General features: G+C 39.4%; 1 protein-coding gene across 18 annotated transcripts in view, besides 2 other annotated features; it reads left to right on the plus strand.

Annotated features, from left to right (window-relative positions):
* SLC30A6 (solute carrier family 30 member 6) overlaps positions 1-22,860 on the plus strand; it is a 58,516-nt gene that overhangs the window by 11,288 nt on the left and 24,368 nt on the right. For 9 of the 18 annotated variants that reach the window (NM_001330479.2, XM_011532962.4, XM_047444946.1 and 6 more), the window contains 6 exons: positions 7,122-7,187; positions 15,185-15,265; positions 15,767-15,802; positions 16,738-16,832; positions 20,193-20,241; positions 20,556-20,675. In NM_001330479.2, coding sequence (NP_001317408.1) covers positions 7,122-7,187; positions 15,185-15,265; positions 15,767-15,802; positions 16,738-16,832; positions 20,193-20,241; positions 20,556-20,675 — 447 coding nt within the window. Of the gene's footprint in view, positions 1-325; positions 446-7,121; positions 7,188-15,184; positions 15,266-15,766; positions 15,803-16,737; positions 16,833-20,166; positions 20,242-20,555; positions 20,676-20,814; positions 22,465-22,860 lie in introns of those variants that run through there. The other 9 variants (XM_047444944.1, XM_011532963.4, NM_001193513.3 and 6 more) reach the window with 5 other exon arrangements.
* Positions 11,936-12,136: a silencer, noted in NCBI's record as "peak3647 fragment used in MPRA reporter construct". NCBI's record gives its function as "represses an SCP1 promoter by STARR-seq MPRAs in K562 erythroleukemia cells {active_cell/tissue: K562}" and the evidence as "EXISTENCE:reporter gene assay evidence [ECO:0000049][PMID:32103011]".
* Positions 12,862-12,911: an enhancer, noted in NCBI's record as "active region_15558". NCBI's record gives its function as "activates an Ori minimal core promoter by ATAC-STARR-seq in GM12878 lymphoblastoid cells {active_cell/tissue: GM12878}" and the evidence as "EXISTENCE:reporter gene assay evidence [ECO:0000049][PMID:35858748]".

The raw sequence follows: 22,860 nt of genomic DNA on the forward strand, positions 1-22,860 counted from the left end.
CATTCTCTTCTCCAGCCCTAGGCAACCACTGATCAGTTTTTTCTCGCGATAGATTTACCTACTCTGGACATGTCATATAAGTGGAATCATACAATATACAGTCCTTTATGACTGTCTTCTTAGCACAATGCTTTTCTGTTTTGTTGTAGCATATATCAATAGTTACTCTTTCTTTTTTTTTTGAGTTAGGGTCTTACTCTGTCACCTAGGCTGGAGTGCAGTGGCGTGATCTTGGCTCAAGTGATTCTTTTGCCTCAGCCTCCCAAGTAGCTGGGATTACAGGCATGTACCACCAGGCACGGCTAATTTTTTGTATTTTTATTAGAGACGGGGTTTCACCATTTTGGCTGGGCTGGTCTCAAACTCCTGACCTCAAGTGGTCCACCCACCTCGGCCTACCAAAGTGCTGGGATAACAGGCGTGAGCTACCGTGCCTGAGCAATAGGTATGTTTTCTTCTAAGAGTTTTATAGTTTTTGCTCTTACAATTAGGTCTTTGATTTTTTTTGTTGTTGTTTTTGTTTTTTTTAGATGGAGTCTCACTCTGTCACCCCGGGTGGAATGCATTGGCATGATCTTGGCTCACTGCAGCCTCAGCCTCCCAAAGTGCTGGGATTACAGGCATGAGCCACCATGCCCAATTAGTTTTTGTATTTTTAGTAGAGACAGGGTTTTCCCATATTGAACAGGCTGGTCTCGAACTCCCAAACTCAAGTCATCTGCCTGCCTCCGCCTCCCAAAGTGCTAAGATTATGGGCGTGAGCCACTGTGCCCTTTGATCCATTTTGAGTTAATTTTTTTTTTTTTTTTTTTTTGAGATGGAGTCTCGCTCTGTCGCCCAGGCTGGAGTGCAGTGGCGCGATCTTGGCTCACTGCAATCTCCGCCTCCCAGGTTCATGCCATTCTCCTGCCTCAGCCTCCTGAGTAGCTGGGACTACAGGCACCCGCCACCACGCTTGGCTAATTTTTGGTATTTTTAGTAGAGACAGGGTTTCACCGTGTTAGCCAGGATGGTCTCAATCTCCTGACCTTGTGATCCGCCCGCCTCGGCTTCCCAAAGTGCTGGGATTACAGACGTGAGCCACCGCACCCGGCCAAGTTATTTTTTTTTAATGGTGTGAGATTGGGGGTTCAGATTCATTCTTTTGCATGTGGATAACCAGTTGTCCTATCATCATTTGTTGAAAAGACTACTTTCCCCATTGAATTGCCTTGGTACCCTTGTCAAAAACCAGTTCACGGGCCAAGTGTGGTGGCTGATGCCTGTAATCCCAGCACTTTGGGAGGCCAAGGCAGGTGGACCACCTGAGGTCAAGAGTTTGAGACCAGCCTGACTAATATGACAAAACTCCATCTCTACTAAAATACAAAAATGAGCCGGGCATGGTGCCATACACCTGTAGTCCCAGCTACTCAGGAGGCTGAGGCAGGAGAATCGCTTGAACCTGGTGGGACAGAGATTGCAGTAAGTGAGCCGGAATCGCACCATTGCACTCCAGCCTGGACAACAGAGTGAGACTCCATCTCAAAAAACAAAACAACAACAACAAACACCAGTTCACTGTAACTGTGAATGTTTATTTTTGGATTCTCAGGTCTGTCCCATTGATCTGTATGTCTGTCCTTTATGCCAGTACCATCAGTCTTGATTACTGCAGCTCTGTAGTAAGTTTTGAAATTGGAAAGTGTGGATATTCCAGCTTTGTTCTTTTTCAAGATTGTTTTGGCTAAACAGGCATTCTTTTTTCTCAGGCTGGAGTGCAGTGGGTTGACCTCGGCTCACTGCAGCCTCAGCCTTTACCGCCTGAGCTCAAATGATCCAGCTCAGCCTCCTGAGTGAGTGGTACCACAGGCTTGTGCCACCACACCTGCCTAATTTTTTGATATTTTGTAGAAATGAGGTCTTCTTATGTTGCCCAGGCAAGTCACAAATTTCTGGGCTCAAGTGATCCTCCTGCCTTTCCCTCCCAAAGCGTTGGGATTACAAGCATGAACTACCTGTCCTGGCTGGAAACAGGCACTTTTATACATTGCTGGTGGGAATATAAATTGGTGCAGCATCTCGAGGGCAATTTGGCAATATCAATTAAATTTATAAATGCCCATAACCTTAAACGTAGCAGTTCCTTTTCTAGTAATTTATGCTGCAGATATATTCCTGTGGTTAAAAATGAGTTGCATATGAGATTATTCAGTACAAAAGATTGGAAACAATCAGTATATGAATGATGAAATAATGGGGCATGTATACCCCATATTTTGGTATGTATATATCATAGAATTCTCAAACTTGACCATACAGCAGAATTACTTGGAAGGTCTTGTTAAAATACATATTGCTTCATTTCCAGAGTTACTGATTCAGGAGGCCTAGGGTAGGACCCAAGAATTTGCATTTCTAGCAACAGATGAAACCGATCCTGCTGGGTATAGGGAACCCACTTATCTGTGTAATTAAATATTATGTAGCCTTAGACAATAAAATCAAAGCATTTTATGGTTTTGAGGTCCTAATGAGGGGAAAAAGCAAGATACACAACAGTGTATATAGTATGCTGCAATTTGTATTAAAAAGGGGGAAAGAATAAGAATACGTACATGTATACACATCCACACACTACACTCATTCATTTGCTTGTATTTGCGTAAATATACATAGGAAAGATAAACAAACTGATAATAATAGGTGTCTTTGAAGAGGAAGACTCTGGCAGGGAGACAAGTTTAAAATCTTCCCACTATATATCTGTTGTAAATTTTGAATTTTATTTATATAAATAAAACGCCAATTTAAAAATAAATAAAAAGCAGTTTAAATATGTTACCGCCAAGAGTGGTGTCTCATGCCTGTAATCCTAGTGCTTTGGGAGGCTGAGGCAGGAGGACATTTGAGCCCAGGAGTTTGAGGCTGCAGAGAGCTATGATCTTAGCACTGTACTCCAGCCTCAGTGACAGAGAGATACCCTATAGACCAGGCACAGTGGCTCATGCCTGTAATCCCAGCACTTTGAGAAGCCAAGGTGAAAGGACTGCTTGAGCCCAGGAGTTCAAGACCAGCCTGGGCAATACAGTGAAACCTCTTCTCTACAAAAAATTTTAAAAATTAGCCAAGTTTGGTGGTACACACCTGTAATCCCAGCTACTCACTGAATAGTAGGCAGTAGGATCACTTGAGCCCAAAAGGTCAAGGCTGCAGTGAGCTATGATTGCACCACTGTAATCCAGTCTTGGGTCTTGGTGACACACTGATACCCTGTCTCAAAAAAAAAAAAAAAGGATTTTATTTATTTATTTTTGAGACAGGGCCTCATCCTGTCACCCAAGCTAGAGTACAGTGGCACGATCTTGGCTCACTGCATGCAGCCTCCACCTCCCGGTCTCAAGCGATTCTCCTGTCTTAGCCGCCCGAGTAGCTGGGATTACAGGCACCCACCACCATGCCCGGCTAATTTTTGTATTTTTAGTGGAGATGGGGTTTCACCATGTTGGCCAGGCTGGTCTTGAACTCCTGACCTCAGGTGGACCTCCCGCCTCAGCCTGCCAAAGTGCTGGGATTACAGGCGTGAACCACCGCGCTCAGCCCATGCATGTACTTTAAAAAGTTACTTTGGGGAATAGTTACTAATGTTACCAACCATATTTGATAACAAACTAACGGTAATAAAAATAGTCAAATTTTAAAACTAAAGTAATAATGTTTCCCTTATGTCTTAAGGTTCATAAGGAAAATCTTTTCATTTAATTTGAGGAAGTTTCTTTCTTTAGAGGCTCACAATCTGCCATATGAGTTAGCTATCGCTACATAACGTTTCAGATGAAAGGTGTGATTTAGATTCATTTAGAGCTTCACTAATATCCAAACACAGAAGAAAGTGGTTATCTGATTTTAGAATTTTAAGTGTTAATAAATGCTACTGTTTTACAAAGAGGTGTAGAAATATATTTTATTGGAGAACATTAATACCAAAGTGGTGTTACTAAACTATGGAAATTAAAATGATTTACACATATAAATAAAATCAAACATATTGAATGATTTGTTAATAAATGGGTACTGATTTTTTAGATTTATGTAGTAATGGGAAGTAAATTCGATCAGTGTACCATATTTCATCAAATATTAGATGCCAACAGTTTTAAGACAAATACTTATTTTATGTGTCCCCAAGAAAAATGCTGCTAATTCAACTGTGATGTACTGTAAGTTGTAAGACTAACCCTGATTTGAGGATTATTAAGATGTGAAAAAACATGTACTTCTTAAAATTGATGAATTATAGAAAAATTTTCAGAGATTTTTATCCATTTTTAAGGGTAAAATTTTCAAAAGTTAATATTTAGACACTGAATTTTTCAGATTTCTTATTATTAACAAATCTTATCTATAGAGTATTATTTACAAAGAAAAATTTTACAATTAATAATTGAAGCTTTGGCCGGGCGAGGTGGCTCACGCCTGTAATCCCAGCACTTTGGGAGTCCGAGGCTGGCAGATTCCCTGAGCTCAGGAGTTCGAAACCACCCTGGGCAACATGGTAAAAACCCATCTCTACTAAAATACCAAAAAATGAGGTGGGCATGGTGGCGCACTTTTGTAATCCCAGCTGCTTGGAAAGCTGAGGTGGGAGAATCGCTTGAGCCTGGGAGGTGGAGGTTGCAGTGAGCCAGGATTGTGCCACTGCACTCCAACCTGGGCGACAGAGTGAGACTCCGTCTCAAAAAAAAAACCATAAATAATAAATTAATGATTGAAGCTTCAATTGTATATTTCGTTTTTCTTTTCTTTTTTTTTTTTTTTTTTTGAGACAGGGTATTACTCTGTCACCCAGGCTGAGTACAGTGACATAGTCATGGCTCACTGCAGCTGCAATCTCCTGGGCTTAGGCGATCCTCCTACCCTAGCCTCTGGGGTAGCTGGGACTACAGGTGTTCACCACCACACCTGGCTAATTTTTGTGTATTTTTGTGGTGATGGGGTCTCGACATGTTGCCTAGGCTGGTCTTGTACTCTTGGGCTCTCAAGTGATCCACCTGCCCTGACCTCCCAAAGTGCTAGGTTTACAGGCATGAGCCACCACGCCCAGCCTAATTGTATATTTCTGACTGCAGAAACTCATTTGGCTGCCTTTATCCGATGCAATTTCAAAAATCATTCATCCATTCAAAACCAACCTAGATTATTTGCTGAACTTCAATGTAAATACCATATTCTTGCTGCTTACATGAATTGGAAGTGAGATTAGCACACTATATGAACCCTGTCATGATGAGTGTGAAGTACTCTCAAGGAGTTAGCCAGGGCTCTTTTGATTGCAGCCATCAGACTTCCACTGGAGCTCTATTGGGGGAGCAAAGGTGTAGGATACTTAATTCTACAGATTCAGGGGTGTTAATGGAATCTGAGGGCAGAGGTTTAACTGGGCCCCATTGTAAGAATCAAACTTCTCTTTATCTCTCATCTCTGTTCCCTGTACATGGACACCGTTGAGCTATTTTCTTCCTGTAGGTCAGCGTTCCCTACTCGCAAATCCAGGGATAGAAATACAAATACTACTCCAAATTTTCAAATGTGCATTTCCATCATTCAGGAAAGCAGCCAAATTAAGCCTGGAATGCCTTGGTTGCAGTTCCAAATCCTACTTCCAAATCCAGAGCAGCATTTTGACGCAGCTTAGGTTACATGTGTCAGGTGCCTATCTGTGGATGAGTCAGCTGTGGCCAGGGAGTAGGGTCATGTTAAGAACATACCAGTTCTCAGCCAGGCACGGTGCCTCACACCTGTAATCCCAGCCCTTTGGGAGGCCGAGGTGGGTGGATCACAAGGTCAGGAGTTCCTGACCAGCCTGGCCAACGTGGTGAAAGCCCATCTCTACTAAAAATACAAAAATTAGCCGGGCATGGTGGTGCATGCCTGTAATCCCAGCTACTCAGGAGGCTGAGGCAGGAGAATCACTTGAACCTGGGAGGCGGAGGTTGCAGTGAGCCGAGATCGCGCCATTGCACTCCAGCCTGGGCGATAGAGTGAGACTCCATCTAAAAAAAGAACATATATCAGTTCCTGCTGTAATATAGATGGAGAAAAAAATGAAGGATAGTTAATAACTGAGAATTGAGGAATTGTGAGCTAGGGAGACAGACTCTTGTCTCCCTGCTTCATGGAGCCTTTCATATTTCCATTTAAGGATTACAAAATACTTTGATGTCTTCAAGATCCATGAGATAGGAGTATATTATAAGGATGGCTTTTCGGCCAGGCGCGGTGGCTCACGCCTGTAATCCCAGCACTTTGGGGTGGCCAAGGCAGGTGGATCACTTGAGACCAGGAGTTCAAGACCAGCCTGGCCAACATGACGAAACCTCGTCTCTACTAAAAAAAAATATATAAAAATTAGCCGGGCATGGTGGTGCATGCCTGTAATTACAGCTACTTGGGAGGCTGAGGCAGGACAATCACTTGAACCTGGAAGGAAGAGGTTTCAGTGAGCCGAGATGGCACTACTGCACTCCAGCCTGGGCAACAGAGCGAGACTCTGTCTCAAAAAAAAAAAAAAAAAGCATGCCTTTTATTAATCAGGTAACTAACATATTTAACTGGGTCTAACGCAGATAGTTGTTACCTCAATTTCATATTGTAGTAACTTGTTTTACAGTGAATCTACTATAGTTGGAAAATGAACATAATTTTATCTCACTCAAAATGTTGTCAAGGTATTATTAATATTTATGTTAACTTTTAACAAAGATGAAGCGTATCAAAGTTAAAATTGATCATATGTGTCATTTTTTAGCATTTTCAGTTACAGAAACCATTTAGGGTGAATAACATTGTGTAGTGGAAGTATGAATTTAGGTTCTACTTTACTGACTTGATGTATTATAACTTTATTCTGTTCCTTCACATGTTAAAATCTTCCAAGTATACCACATGTTCAGATGCTCACTGTGATTAGATGGTAAACTACTAGAATTAATTATCTTAATAAATTATTAGAATAATTTATTATTAATTTAGTCTGTGCAAACACAGATAACTTTCAACCACTTAGGAATTCTGAAAACTTAATTTATCTTCACATGTTCTCTTCTAGTTCTAATACTAAATTTATTTTTCTTTTTACTTAGTTTAATGACATGTTTAATAAGTTACTGGGTAACATTGAGGAAACCTAGCCCTGTCTATTCATTTGGGTAAGTTCAAATTATTTTATTTTCTGCTAACTTATGACTACTAAAATATTATTTATAGTAGACGATAAAGAGCTAGCTAGAGTATTTCTGGAAAATAAATGCTGCGTACTTAGTGAAATGATGATCAGATAGTGAAAATAGATAGGCTGGGCACAGTGGCTCACGCCTGTAATCCCAGCACTTTGGGAGGCTGAGGCAGGCAGAGCACCTTAGGTCAGGAGTTTGAGACCAGCCTGGCCAACATGGCAGACCCCTATCTCTACTAAAAATACAAAAATTAGCCAGGCGTGGTGGCATGCACCTGTAATTCCAGCTACTTGAGAGGCTGAGACAGGAGAATCGCTGGAACCCAGGAGACGGAGGTTGCAGTGAGCCGAGATCATGCCATTGCACTCCAGCCTGGGCAACAGAGCAAGACTCCTTCTCAAAAGAAAATAGAAAAGCATCTTCCAAGAAACATAAATATTTAAGGTATAAATCATATTAAAATAAAATGTTCACATTAAGTTTTTTATATTTTATAAAGCAAATATTTTAAAAAGTTCACGTTAAGTTCTTTAATATTTTGGGGATTTATTTTAGCAAGAGCAAGTACAAAGGATTTTCATGTTAGTGTATCTTCTAGATGTTAAATAAATGTGATATAGTTTAATAATAGGCAGTGGTAAAGATGGATTTTCATCTGAAACTGGATTTGTGATAGCAATAGATCAACAAATAATTTGAGATTTGTTTCCATAATTACTGAGGCCAGGTGTGGTGGCTCATGCCTGTAACCCTAGCACTTTGGTAGGTTGAGGCAGGAGGATTGCTTGAGTTAGAAGCCAGCCTGGGCAACATAGTGAGATCTGTCGCTGCAAAAAATGTTTTTAATTAGCTGCACATGGTGGTGTACACCTGTGGTCCCAGCTGCTTGGGAAGCTGAGGTGGGAGGATTGCTTAAGCCAGGAGTTTGAGGCTGCAGTGAGCTATAATTGCATCACTGCATTACAGATGGCAAGAGTAAGACCCTGTCTCAAAAAAAAAAAAAAATTTACTGAAAGTTGAAAGGAAATAATCTTTTATATTAAAGGTTTAAAAATGTATTTAAACATGAGTTCCTTTTAGATGCTAGGAAACAACTTGAAAGAATTTTACTTTATTAATTTTTTTTTACCTGAAGAGGCATATCGACCAAGGAATTTCACTTTAGTAAAGAAACTTTTGGACCAAACTTAGTCTTCTTTTCCACCATACCATTCATTGGGACTATATTCTTTTGAACAAAATTAGGTTTTATTTACTTAAACAATGGGAAGAAGTAAACAAAAATTTTAATGCAAAATAAGGATTTTCATAAATCAATCATAAATCAAAATGAATTTTTAAAAAATATTATTTTTAATTTTATTTATTTTTTGAGACGGATTCTCACTCTGTCACCCAGGCTGGAGTGCAGTGGCATGATCTGGGCTCACTGCAGGCTCTGCCTTCCGGGTTCCAGCGATTCTTCTGCCTCAGCCTCCCGAGTACCTGGGATTACAGGTGTGTGCCACCACGCCTGGCTCAGTTTTTTTTTTTTTTTGTATTTTTAGTAGAGATGGGGTTTCACCATGTTGGCCAGGCTGGTCTTGAACTCCTGACCTCAAATGATCCACCTATCTCTGCCTCCCAAAGTGCTGGGATTACAGGTGTGATCCACCACACCCAGACTTTTTTTCTTTTGTGTGTGTGTGTGTGACAGTTTTGCTGTGTCACCCAGGCTGAAGTGAAGTGGTGTGATCTTGGCTCATTGCAACCTCCACCTACCAGATTCGATCAATTCTTATGCCTCAACCTCCAGGGTATCTGGGATTACAGGTGTGCACCACCACACCCAGTTAATTTTTATAGTTTTAGTAGAGATGGAGTGTCGCCATGTTGGTCAACCTGGTGTCCAGCTCCTGGCCTCAAAGTGCCAGGCCCAGCCTGTGTCACTGAAACTTGAGAGAGTTGCATTATCACTATGATAATCAGTTGTAAGGTATAGATATATCCATATAAGGAAATCTGCCACTGCAAGTGACAGAAATCTAACTTAGTTTGGGGCCTGGTGCGGTGGCTTACGCCTATAATCCCGGGACTTCGGGAGGCCAAGGTGGGTGGATCACCTGAGGTCAGGAGTTTGAGACCAGGCTGGCCAACATGGCAAAACCCCATCTCTACTAAAAACACACACACAAAAATTAGCTGGGCATGGTGGCAGGCACCTGTAATCCCAGCTACTTGGGAGGCTGAGGCAGGAGAATCACTTGAACCTGGGAGGCAGAGGTTGCAGTGAGTCGAGATTGTGCCACTGCACACCAGCCTGGGTGACAGAGCGAGACTCTGTCTCAAAAAAAAAAAAATTAGTTTGGGGAGTCAGATGCAGTGGCTCATGCCTGTAATCCCAGCATTTTGGGAGGCCCAGGTGGTCGATCACTTGAGTTTAGGAGTTTGAGACCATCCTGAGCAAAGAGCGAGACCCCGTCTCTACAAAAAAATACAAAAATATGCTGGGTGTGGTGGGGCGTGCCTGCATTCCCAGCTACTCATGAGACTGAATTGGGAAAATGGCTTGAACCTGGGAGGCAGAGGTTTCAGTGAGTGAGATGGTGCCACTGCACTCCTGCCTGGGAGACAGAGCTAGACGCTGTCTCCAAAAAAAAAAAAAAAAAAAGAAAGAAAAAGAAAAATGAGTTCGGGGGAAAAAATGGGAGGACTTTTACAATTTATGTAACCAAACTACTGTGGGAAGACAGTAACTGGCGCAGGCACTAGACCACTGAGGACATTGTCATTTTTTTGCCTCCCAGGCCTGCTTTTCTCTGCATGTCCTGTTCAGTCTCTCAGACCACTTTTCTCCACCAATCCGAAATGATGCTCCTATCAAGACCTTAATTCACACCTTCTCACCTTCATCCGAGAGAGGAAATAATAAATTACTACTGTTAAAATAATATTTATGGTAGGCAATAAAGAGCTAGCTAGAGTATTTCTGGAAAATAAATGCTGCCTAGTTCAGAAAATCATGAGAAAGAACTGTTGCTTGGGCCAGCTTGGAACAGGCATCAGTCTTTATAGATCAGTTACTGTGGATAGAAGACAAGGTCGTGTAAGGACATGACAGCTCCCATTTTGGCTCACTTGCTTAGAGTGAACAGGAAAGAAAGGAGCAGCTAAGCAATAAAGTTAAACACTCAAATATATTTGCAATCGATCACATAGCTGAAGTATCACATATATCTGGAGACTTCAAAATCCAGTTCTCTAGGCCTGAGAACTATCTAGAATTTCAGACTACCTTCTTGACAGCTTCACACGGATGTCTAATTGGTGTCTTAAACTTAGGAAAAAATTCTTGGTTTCTTCCTCAAAAACCTATTCCTTTGTAGTTTTCCCCGTCTCAGTAAATACCATCAGCACTCTGTTGCTCAAACAAAAAATTCTGGGAATTTCTGTTGATTACTGTCTCTCATCACCCACATTTAATCTATTAGCAGATTAATTATGTCAAGGTAACCTACAAACACATCCAGAATTACCCCCCAATCCCATTTCTGTCTCCACTACTGCCAGCCCAGACCAAGCTACTTTCATTTACAGCCAGTGTTTTTCTTTTTAAACCTGTATCATATTATCCCTCTCCCCTTAAAACCATCTAGTTGTTTCCCGTAATACTTAGAATAAAATCCTAACTCCTTTTTCTAATTTACAAAGCCCTTATATGATCAGGACCCTGCCTACTTTTCTTCAACTTAATCTTCTCATGGCCTCTATAGGATACTGACTTTCTTTTTGTTGTTTGAACGCTACTAACTCATTCCCATTTTAGGTCCTTTATATAAGATCTGCCTGATATGCTCTTCACCTGATCTTTGCAAGGCTGGCTTCATCGTGTTACTCATATCTTAATATCACTAAATGCTAATTTCCATTAAGTGACTGAATGGCCCAATCAAAAATAGTCATCTGGTTAATCTCTTGTCACATCAGACTACTATAATTCTCTGTACAGAACTTACCAAACAAGGTATTTGTTTTTCTGTCCCTACCCTTTAAAAGGTAAATTTCAGAGCTGGGTGTGGTGGCTTATGCCTATAATCCCAGCGCTTTGGGAGGCCGAGGTGGGAGGATCACCTGAGGTCAGGAGTTTGAGACCAGCCTAACCAACATGGTGAAACCTCATCTCTACTAAAAATACAAAAATTCGCCAGGTGTGGTGGTGCGAGCCTGTCGTCCCACCTACTCATGAGATCGAGGCAGGAGAATCACTTGAGACCGGGAGGCGGAGACTGCAGTGAGCCAAGATTGTGCCACTGTACTCCATCCTCCGTCTCAAAAAATAAAAAATAAAAAGCAAATTTCATAGAAGTAGGGACCCTGTCTTGTTTTCTGTAATATCTTTGTGCAATTTGATGAATTTTAAGAAATGAATACATTTGTATAGTTACTATCTGGATCATGATATAGAACATTACAAGTCCCCCAAAACCTCCCTTCGTGTCCATTCAGACCCTACCAGAAGTAACTGGTAATCTGACCTCTAACATTGCATATTAGTTTTGCCTGTTTCTGAAAATCCTGTAGATGGAATATAGTATGTACTATCTTGTTCATTCTTGTTCATTGCTCTCATATTCCATTATATGAATATGTCACAAATTGCTTAATTGTTAAGGACATTTAGATGACTTTCACTTTTTAGCTATTATAAATAAAACTACTTCTGAACATTCTTGTATATATCTTTTAGTGCACATGTGTACCCATTTATGTTGGGTATGTGTATCTTTGAGTGGAATTAGTTTGGATTTGCATGTTCATTATTAAAAGATAAGATAATACCAAACCGTTTTCCAGAGCAGTTTTACCAATTTATACTCCCACTGGTAGTGTTTGAGAGTTGCATTTGCTTCCTGTCCTTGACAACAGTTGATACTGTCTTTTTTTTTTTTTTTTTTTCTTTTTTTTGAGGCAGCATCTCGCTTGGTCGCCCAGGCTGGAGTGCAGTGGTGCGACCTTGGCTCACTGCAACCTCCACCTCCCGGATTTAAGCGATTCTTGTGCCTCAGCCTCCTGAGTAGCTGGGACTACAGGCATGCACCAACATGCCTAATTTTTTTTATTTTTTTATTTTTAGTAGAAATGGGGTTCCACCATGTTGGCCAGGCTGGTCTTGAACTCCTGACCTCAAGTAATCCACCCACCTTGGCCTCCCAAAGTGCTGGGATTATAAGCATGAGCCACCGCACCCGGCCTTTTTTTTTTTTTTTTTTTTTTTTTTTTTTGAGGCAGAATCTAACTCTGTAGCCCATGTTGGAGTACAGTGGCATGATCATAGCTCATTGCAGCCTTCAACACCTGGGCTCAAGTGGCTCTCCTGCCTCAGCCTCCTGAGTTGCTAGGACTACAGGCACATCCCACCATGCCTGGCTAATTTTTAAAATATTTTTGGAGTCAGGGGTCTCACCATATTGCCCAGGCTGGTTTGAACTGGTTTCAAGCGATCCTCCCACACCCCGAGTAGCTGAAATTACAGGTGTGGAGCCACCGTGCCCAGCTGTTATTGTCTTTTTTCATAAAGGCCATTCTATGGTATGCAGTGGTATTTCATTGTGGTTTTAAGTTATTTTCCTTATGACTAATTGAGCACCTTTGCCTATGTTGATTAACCATTCAGATCACCTCTTTTTTAAAATGCTTGTAAAAATCTTTTAACCATTTCCTGTTTTTCTGTATTAATCTGTAACAGTTCTTTATATATAAGTATCTTCTCCTTCTTAGTTGCCCTTCTTTCTCTTAATGGTATCTTCTGATGAATAAAAGTTTTAAATTTTAGGCCGGGCGCGGTGGCTCACGCATGTAATCCTAGCACTTTGGGAGGGTGAGGTGGGCAGATCATTTGAGGTCAGGAGTTGGAAACCAGCCTGACCAACATGGTGAAACCCCATCTCTACTAAAAATACTAAAATTAGCCACACATGGTGGTGGGTGCCTGTAATCCCAGCTACTTGGGAGGCTGAGGCAGGAGAATCACTTGAGCCCAGGAAGCAGAGGTTGCAGTGAGCCAATATCGTGTCATTGCTCTCCAGCCTGGGCGACAGAGTGAGACTCCGTCTCAAAAAAAAAAAAAAAAGTTTTAAATTAAATTTATTTTTTTGGGTTGGTCCTTTTGTGTACTTGTTAAGAAATCTTGGCATACCCCCAGGTCAGAAAGACACTTTGTTCTGTTATCACCTAGAAGCCTTACTGTTTGATTTTTCATATTTAATCCTACAATCCAGTTGGAATAGATTTTTTTGGTATGGTGTGAAGCAGGAGTAAAGGCATATTCTGGACTGCAGTGGCGCAATTCGGCTCACTTCAACCTCCATCTCCCAGGTTCAAGCAATTCTCGTGCCTCAGCCTCCCAGGCAGCTGGGATTACAGGCCCGCACCACCACGCCCAGCTAATTTTTTGTATTTTTAGTAGAGACTGGGTTTCGCCATGTTAGCCAGGCTGGTCTTGAACTGGCCTCAAGTGATGTGCCTGCCTCGGCCTCACAAAGTGCTGGGATTGCATGTGTGAGTCACCGCGCCTGGCTCTTTACTGCTTTTATGTGCCACATTTTTCACAAATCAGTGGACTATATATGTGTAGGTCTGTTTCTAGATTCTCTTTTCTGTACAATTTGGTGTATTTGTACTTGGATTAGTACTGCACTATGTCAATTATTGCAGCTTTGAAATACCTATTGATATCTGGTAGTATAAATCTTCCAGCTTCGTTCTTCTTCAAGGTTATCTTTGCCTTCCTTCACATTTTGCAGTTCCATATGCATTTTAATATCAGCTTCTCACCTTCCACAAATAACATTGGTGCATTTGCATACTGTTTTTTCCTGTTCTTTTTTATTTTTTCAGTAGCTGGAAAACAACACTTAATTTGTATTCTATCATAACCTACTTTTTTCACTCACCTTTTTCCATGTCAATAAATACTTTTTTTGTTTAACAATATATAATGTTCTATTGTTGATTCCAGCATTTTTCCTTTACAAATAACAATGTGATGTACAGTCTTAATTTTTTTGTCTTTTCTGTGCCTCCGTGATTATTTTCTTGAAAAATTTTAAGCATTTATACTTACCATAAATATTGAATACCATTAGACCATGTGTTGCAGGAAAAACTAAAACAACAGTTCCTGGCCTCTGGCTTATAGTCTAGGGATTATAAAATATATTCATAATTCACTGTAATTATGTATAGAAATGAGAGGCAGTATAATAAGTGGTTAAAATCTGAATTCTAGTGTCAGAGTGTTTGAGTTTGAAAACCTTCTACTTGCTATCTATATGACTCTAAACAGTTACTTTTCTTCTTCGTGTCCTAAACTTCTTATCTGTTTGGGAAAAAAAAATGAGCCAAGTGTGGTGGCACATGCCTGTAGTCCCATCTACTCGGGAGGCTGAGCAGCTGGGAGGATTACTTGAGCCTGGGAGTTCAGGGTCCAGCCTGGGCAACATAGTGAGACCCCCATCTCTTGAAAAAAAGAAAAAAGTGGATAAAGTAATTCTAATAAGGGGTTGGGAGGTTTAGATGAGGTAATATGTTAAGCACTCTGGTGTCTAACGCACAGTGGGTCAATTAAGTGTTATTATTATGATTGTGATTATTTCTAGAAAATAAGGACTATAATTGGGTCCTGGTAATTGTCTTTTTTTTTTTTTTAATCATTTTAAAGTTTTTCTGGAAAGAGAAAGCCTCTGACATGGGCTGAAGGTGCTCTCTCTTCTGAGTCCTAGGAATTGTACAAATAGGTACTCCTTGGAATCTGTGATTTTCATTGTTTATTATTATTCTAGAAACCCTAATCTGCTCTAACAGTGTTGGGCTCATAGTAGACAGCACATATGTATATTAAGTGAGCAAATAAATGAATGTAAATGTGTTCTAGAGAGACTGGTTTGTGAATTGAAAGAATTGTGATGATCTAATTAATGTTTTGGTTTCAGGTTTGAAAGATTAGAAGTCCTGGCTGTATTTGCCTCCACAGTCTTGGCACAGTTGGGAGCTCTCTTTATATTAAAAGAAAGGTACATTTGTATAGGATATTATTCTAAATCCCCCCATGACACCTTTGGGAACATGAAAGAAACCCGTCAGACACATTTGCTTTCAAGGGTATGAAAACTTAGATGAGCAGGGCTGGAGTTTTGATAGTACACTTTCTTTATGTTTCAGACTTTTTCTTCTGTTTCATTTTTTTTACTTCCTTCCTTAATGCTACTAAATTGAATCAGAAGTGGTTGTGAATGAAACAGAGATTCAGTCAGGCATGTTTGATGCTTATTACAAACCCATTGAAATAGGCTTGGCAGAGAAAGATAGACATTACATATTAAGGATAATTTGTGAAAAAAGAAAACAACTAAAAAGGATAATTTATGAGTCTCCTTGCCTCATCACTGCTAATAGTTAATAGTTATAATATTAAAAGATTTTGTGAACTTTAAGGTGGGTGAATGATATATTTAATAAAGCTTTTTAACTTTATAATTTATAGGACTTATTTAATATATTTTTATTTCTTATAGTGCAGAACGCTTTTTGGAACAGCCCGAGATACACACGTGAGATTTTATTTTCAATATATAATTTACTATTGATTCTTAATTATTAATTGATGTATTATTAAACAGTTGGCCAATGTCAGATTTCAGACTGTGGCAACATAACGTTTTTGCTGGTATTTCACAAACAAAATTCCCTAATACTAAGACTCCGTTTCTTTACTCTTAACAGTTCCCAAGTTCTAAATATTTTTATACTACACAGGAAGGCCTTTCTATCTTGGCTTCAGGCTTCTCATTATTTCCAGGCCTAGGAAACACTAACCCAGCTTCCCCTAGTCTTCTGTAATTTCAAATTTGACCTTCAAAATCTTTGCATAGCACCTGTAGAAAAGAGAATTGGACGAGGCTCAGGGATTCAGTGTAATCCCAGCACTTTGGGAGGCTAAGGCAGGAGGATCGCTTGAGTTCAGGAGTTCAAGACCAACCTGGACAACAGAGTGAGACCCTGTCTCCAAAAAAAAGAAACGTATATATGTTTCATATATATTGCAACTATGTGATTTTCATATATATATGAAAAGAGAATTGTATGTATCATATATATGAAAAAACAATTGTATTTCTCAACCACAGAGCTGCCAACTATATGGACCTTATCTATTCTGATCAGTTTAATTCCACAAAGTCTGACTTGTCCAGTATATCGTAAAACAAATACCATTGATATTTATACAGATTTATAACAGCGTTTACCTGTAGCAAGATACTGTTAATGCTAAAAGTCCTTACTTATCCTTTGTAAGATGGAGCAACAGTAGATGGGACATGGGTGATGGGGCTAGTAACTAAGTTCAGATTCTGTATCTGGAAACACCAAATCATTAAAGCAGACCACTTTACCTTCCCACCTCTTAGTCCCTCTACGTATTGAAATTACATACTGATAATACCAAGAACAAATTAAAGGTGAATGTTATCGTTGTTCTTTTTAGGGGAAGATTATTAGTTGGTACTTTTGTGGCTCTTTGTTTCAACCTGTTCACGATGCTTTCTATTCGGAATAAACCTTTTGCTTATGTCTCAGAAGGTATGTTTTTTATTTACTATTAATTTAAAAATCCAACTAATCTCTCATAAAAACAAGCCTTTTGTTTGTTTCGTTCACTCAGATCAATGAAGAAGTATATTCTGAAGACAAGAGAGAACTAGCCCAAATGTTCTCAAGTCTTTTTTAAGTGGAAAATTATAAAACAAAATCTCATTAGTTCAAGCTTTAAAATAACAAATTATTTTAAAACAGGCAGGAGTGACCTGTAAATTAAATCATGTGGTGATGAAAAATTACATTTACCAAATAATGTGAGATTCTAAATGTGTAATCTATCTAAGAAAAGTCTATTGTAAGCATTTTAGAAGTATCAGTATACTTAGAATTCTTAGTTGATATGCTAATTGAAAATAATTGTATTCTGTTAATAAAGTAAGTTCCCAGGAACTTCTCTTTGGCAATGGTGGATGGGCATATATGTTTGCAAGTAGCCAAACTTTATTTCTTTGGAAATATTCTTTTATTTTGAAGTATTTACAACTTCAGACTGATTTTTCACTTTTGCAGTCTAAATTATTTTCTTTTTTCAATAATTTCAGTGTTTTGGAATCCCACTAACCCACAAAAGAGTTAGCCACTAAGAGATGGAGAAGTGAGGTGAAAATAGAAGTGGGATGTGTGCACAGACCCACACTTTGAAGTATAGAGAAGCACAGATAGGTGTGGATCTTTTTAGATCTCACTCTAGGATAGTCAAGAGAAGAAAGTTTTCTGAAATGCCCATTCAAGTTTAAACAACTTCATGAATGTTATGAAGATAAATTGTGTTTGTATGAGTTAAAGAAGTACTGCATGAATTAGAAAATTAAATAATGATAATTAAGATCACTAGAATTTCTTGAAAAAAATTCATAATTTATAAAATACTATAACACTTACTCTAGAAATTTTTAAGATGGTGCAAAGATTTAGAAACACTGTTTCCCTGTAAAGATCAGGGAGATACAAGAAGGAAATAAGACTACTGATAATCTTATGACCCACAGATAATATGTTAACATTTCTATGTTATTCCTTCCACTTTTTTGTATGCACACGTACATATAATTTTATGTGCTTACTTAGAATTGTATATATTACAGTTTTATGCCTGGCTTTTTTTTTTTTTTTTTTGAAACGGAGTCTCACTCTCTTGCCCAGGCTGGAGTGCAGTGGCGCAATCTTGGCTCACTGCAACCTCTGCCTCCTTGGTTCAAGGGGTTACAGGAATGTGCCACCATGCCTGGCTGATTTTTGTATTTTTAGCAGAGACGGGGTTTCCCCATGTTGGCCAGGCTGGTCTCACTCCTGACCTCAGGTGATCTGTCCACCTTGGCCTCCCAAAGTGCCGGGATTACAGGTGTGAGCCACTGCGTCCGGCCATGTCTGGCTTTTTGATTAGCATTATGTCTTCAGTATTGCTTCTCATTAAATACTCTTTGAATGTAAATGATTTTTTAATGTTTGCATAATATTGTTATGAATATTTTAAAATATTTTATACATTTCTAACTTTTCCTTTTATAAATAACTCTATAATCAGCCTCTTTAGATCAACTTCGTCTGCATTTTTTATTCTTTCTGTAGGATAAATTCCCCGAGAAGGAATTATTTACTGGATTAAAAATACAGTATTTTTCAAAGGCTTTGTTGTATATTGCCAAATTTATTTCCAGAAAAGTTATCTAGTTTATATTTTTATTATATTATATTATATTTATTTATTTATTTATTTTTTAATAGAGACAAAGTCTACCTGTGTTACCCAGGCTGGTCTCAAACTCCTGGGCTCAAGCAGTCCTCTCACATCAGCCTCCCAAAGTGCTGGGACGACAGGCGTGAGCCACTGCTCCCAGCCTACTTTATATTTTCATTAGCTGGAAATGGAGGTTCCCAGAAACATCAAGATTTGTGACATTAGCTGGGCTTGGTAGCATGTGCCTCTAGTCCCAGCTACTCAGGAGGCTGAGGTGGTTGTATTGCTTGAGTTCAGGAGTTTGAGTTCAGCCTGGGAAACATAGCAAGACTCTGGCTTTAAAAAAAAATGAAGGCTGGGTCTGGTGGCTCACACCTGTAATCCCAGCAGTTTGGGAGACCAAGTCAGGCGGATCACAAGGTCAGCAGTTTGAGACCGGCCTGGCCAACATGGCAAAACCCTGTCTCTACTAAAAAATTATAAAAATTAGCCGGGCATGGTGGCAGGCGCCTGTGATCCCAGCTACTTGGGAGGCTGAGGCAGGAGAATCCCTTGAACCCGGTAGGCGGAGGTTGCAGTGAGCCGAGATCACGTCATTGCACTCCTGCCTGGGTGACAAAAGTGAAACTCCATCTCAAAACAAAAAAAAAAGAAAAAAGATTTGTGAAATTACTTGAAATTTGAGTGGGAAATAATATTAAGTACTTTCTATATGCCAAGCACTGCTAAATACTTTACATAGAATAACCTATTTAATTCTAGCCAGGTAGGTACCCAGGTTCTCACCTGGCTTTTTTGAGAGTTGAGGGAATTAATTTGTATGTAGTTTGAATATCCCTTATCTGAAATGCTTGGGGCCAGAAGTGTTTCACATTTTAGATTGTCTTAGATTTCGGAGTGTTTGCATTATATGTATGGGTTGAGCATCCCAAACCTGAAAATTTAAAATTCGAAACGCTCCTATGAGCATTTCCTTTGAGTATCATGTTGGTGCTCAAAGTTGTGGATTTTTGGTTTTCAGATTTGGGATCCTCAGCCTGTACCTATGGCCCGTTCTCAGCACACTAGTTAGGAAGCTCTGCTTAAAAGTATAAAGAACTGCTGGGCATGGTGGCTCACACCTGTAATCCCAGCACTTTGGGAGGCCGAGGCAGGTGGATCACCTGAGGTCAGGAGTTCAAGACCAGCCTGACCAACATGGTGAAACCCCGTCTCTACTAAAAATAAAAAATTAGCCAGGTGTGGTGGCACGTGCCTGTAATCCCAGCCACATGGGAGGCTGAGGCAGGAGAATTGCTTGAACGCGGGAGACAGAGGTTGCAGTGAGCCGAGATGGCACCACTGCACTCCAGCCTGGGCAGAAAGAGCAAAACTCCATCTCAAAAGAAAAAGTGTAAAGAACCTTTAAAACCTTAAATTAATAGTAACAATGACATAAATTCCTTCAGGTCAACTGTATATTGTATAATAGTTGAAACTGCTTTTGAATTAGTGGCATAAGGGCATAAAAGAGGAAACATTTATAGATTTGAGGAGTAGCATGTTCTTTTGTAATGTTATTCAGTCACTGCCAAATTTATTTTTTAAAATTAAAGAACTCAAATATTTCAGGTAGTGGTTTTTTTTTCTTCTATATAGATAATTTAAGTATTTTCTTCTTAAAGCTGCTAGTACGAGCTGGCTTCAAGAGCATGTTGCAGATCTTAGTCGAAGGTAAGATGTTATGGAGTTTCATGATATGCATAATTTAAAGGAATACACAAGAAATGCATCTATCATGGGAACTTAAATTATTCGTTGCTGAGGTTACTACGTGAATCACACAGGTCAGATTGTTATTCTCCCTTTACTTTTTAATTGATACAAAAGAGAACTTTATAAATGAAAGGGCTTTGTTCACAAATCCTCTTTGCTTTCTTTAAGAAGTACACTATGTGGTACCAAAATACAAGTTATCTTTTACAAGGTTGTCACCAGTTTTATGTGAGTTCTGCTAATGGATACTCTTTCTGTTTGTTTTTTCTTAGCTTGTGTGGAATTATTCCGGGACTTAGCAGTATCTTCCTTCCCCGAATGAATCCATTTGTTTTGATTGATCTTGCTGGAGCATTTGCTCTTTGTATTACATATATGCTCATTGAAATTAAGTGAGTATTTTTTATTGTTGTCAAGTATGTTTTGATTTCTGGGGACTTACTTTTAAGGGCATCAGCAGGATGGATAGTGGTCAAGCTTCTAGCAGTTTCGCTTATGTCCTGTGTAACTTAGATCACATCTTTTCCTTAGGTGTCTTCATCTGAAAAATTAAGGGGATTGGGTTCAATAAGTATTTCTTACCACAATGTATAATGCAGACTGGAAAACAATTTAAATTCCCTACTGCTGACCTGATGAGTGAAACAGAAAAGAGAACAGTAAGAAAGAGATCTGAGCCACCACTGCTATTGCCGAGAGAGGGAGGAGAAGAGGACGTAGGCGTGAAACAATTTTTTAAAAATAAAGCCTTTTAGGAAATAGGCTTTACAGCTGCTTTAAGCTTAACATGTTATGGCATATGATTCTTTGGCTACCCACCTTTTAAATATTAGTCTTTACTAGAATTTGTCCTTATTGTTCTTGCTGTTTTATGTATTTTCCTTAAAAATCACATGCAAGTATTTGTTTTTGTTTGCTACTTCTGTGGGATTCCTAGATTTTTATTTCTAGCCCACATCTCTATTGAATTCCAAAAGGCGTATCTTCCTGACTTCTATAGGTGTCTACTTTAACTGAACCTATTTTCCCTTAACTCTGAAACTGTTTTTTCTTCTATCTCCCATCTCAGTGAATGGGAGATACAAGAAAAATACTGTCATTTATGCCAATGCATTCTTATTTTAAATTGCATTAAAATATACATAATATAGAGTTGGCTTTTTTCTGAGATGGAGTTTCGCTCTTGGTGCCCAGGCTGGAGTGCAATGGCATGATCTCAGCTCACTGCAACCTCCACCTCCCGAGTTCAAGCAATTCTCCTGCCTCAGCCTCCTGAGTAGCTGGGATTAGAGGCACCTGCCACCACACCTGGCTAATTTTTGTATTTTTAATAGAGATGAGGTTTTGCCATGTTGGCCAGGCTGGTCTTGAACTCCTGACCTTAGGTGATCCACCTGCCTCGGTGGCTCATGACTGTAATCCCAACATAGAGTTTTTTATTTACATTGAGTGTACAATTTGGTGACATTGCATGCAGCCATTACCACCATCCATCTCCAGAACCTTTTTCCTCCTGCCTTCCTTAAATTCCATGCTCATTAAGCAGCTTTCCTTTTCCTCCTCCTCACAGCCCCTGGAAACCACCATTCTAGTTTCTGTCTCTAGGAATTTGACTTCTCTAAGTACTTCACAGAAATGAAATCATATAATATTTGTTCTTTTGTGTCTGCTTATTTCACTTAGCATAATGTCCTCAAGGTTCATCTATGTTGTAACATGTCAGAATTTCCTTCCTTTTTAATTGGAATGCTGAATCACATTTTCCAATGCATAATGGGTAAACAATGCATTTTGTTTACCCATTTATCCATCAGTGGATATTTGAATTGGTTGCATTTCTTTGACTATTGTGAATAATACCACTGTGAACACGAGTGTACAAATATCTGAGTCCTTCCTTTCAGTTCGTGTGGGTATATACCCAGAAGTGAAATTACTGGGTCATGTGATATGATAATTCTGTATTTATCTAATTTATTTAATTTTTTATTTTTGTAGGCACATAGTAGGTATATATATTTATGGGGTACATGAGATATTTTGATACAGGCATACAGTGCATAATAATCACATCAGGGTAAATGGGGTATCCATCACCTCAAGGATGTATTTTTTCTTTGTGTTCTAATTATGCTCTTGTTTATTTTAAAATGTACAATAAATTATTGTTGACTGTAGTAACCCTGTTTTGCTATCAAATAGTAGATTTTATTTATTCTAACTATATTTTTATATCCATTAACCATCCCCCACATCCCCCCAATATTTTAGTTTTTTGAGGAACTCCAGTGCATCATTAATACCCACTTTTCCTCCCTCCTCCTCTCTCACCACTCCCCAAGCCATTTCTAATTCGTCTCCAAGCCTTGTGTAATTGTTTATTAATATTTATTTATTTGGCTGGGTGCGGTGGCTTACACCTGTAGTCCCAGCACTTTGGGAAGCCGAGGCGGCTGGGTCGCCTGAGGTCAGGAGTTCAAGACCAGCCTGGCCAACATGGCAAAACCCCGTCTCTGCTAAAAATACAAAAATTAGCTGGGCGTGGTGATGCACACCTGTAATCCCAACCACCTGGGA

This window comes from Homo sapiens, chromosome 2 (assembly GCF_000001405.40).
Source record: "Homo sapiens chromosome 2, GRCh38.p14 Primary Assembly".
Lineage (NCBI taxonomy): Eukaryota > Metazoa > Chordata > Mammalia > Primates > Hominidae > Homo > Homo sapiens.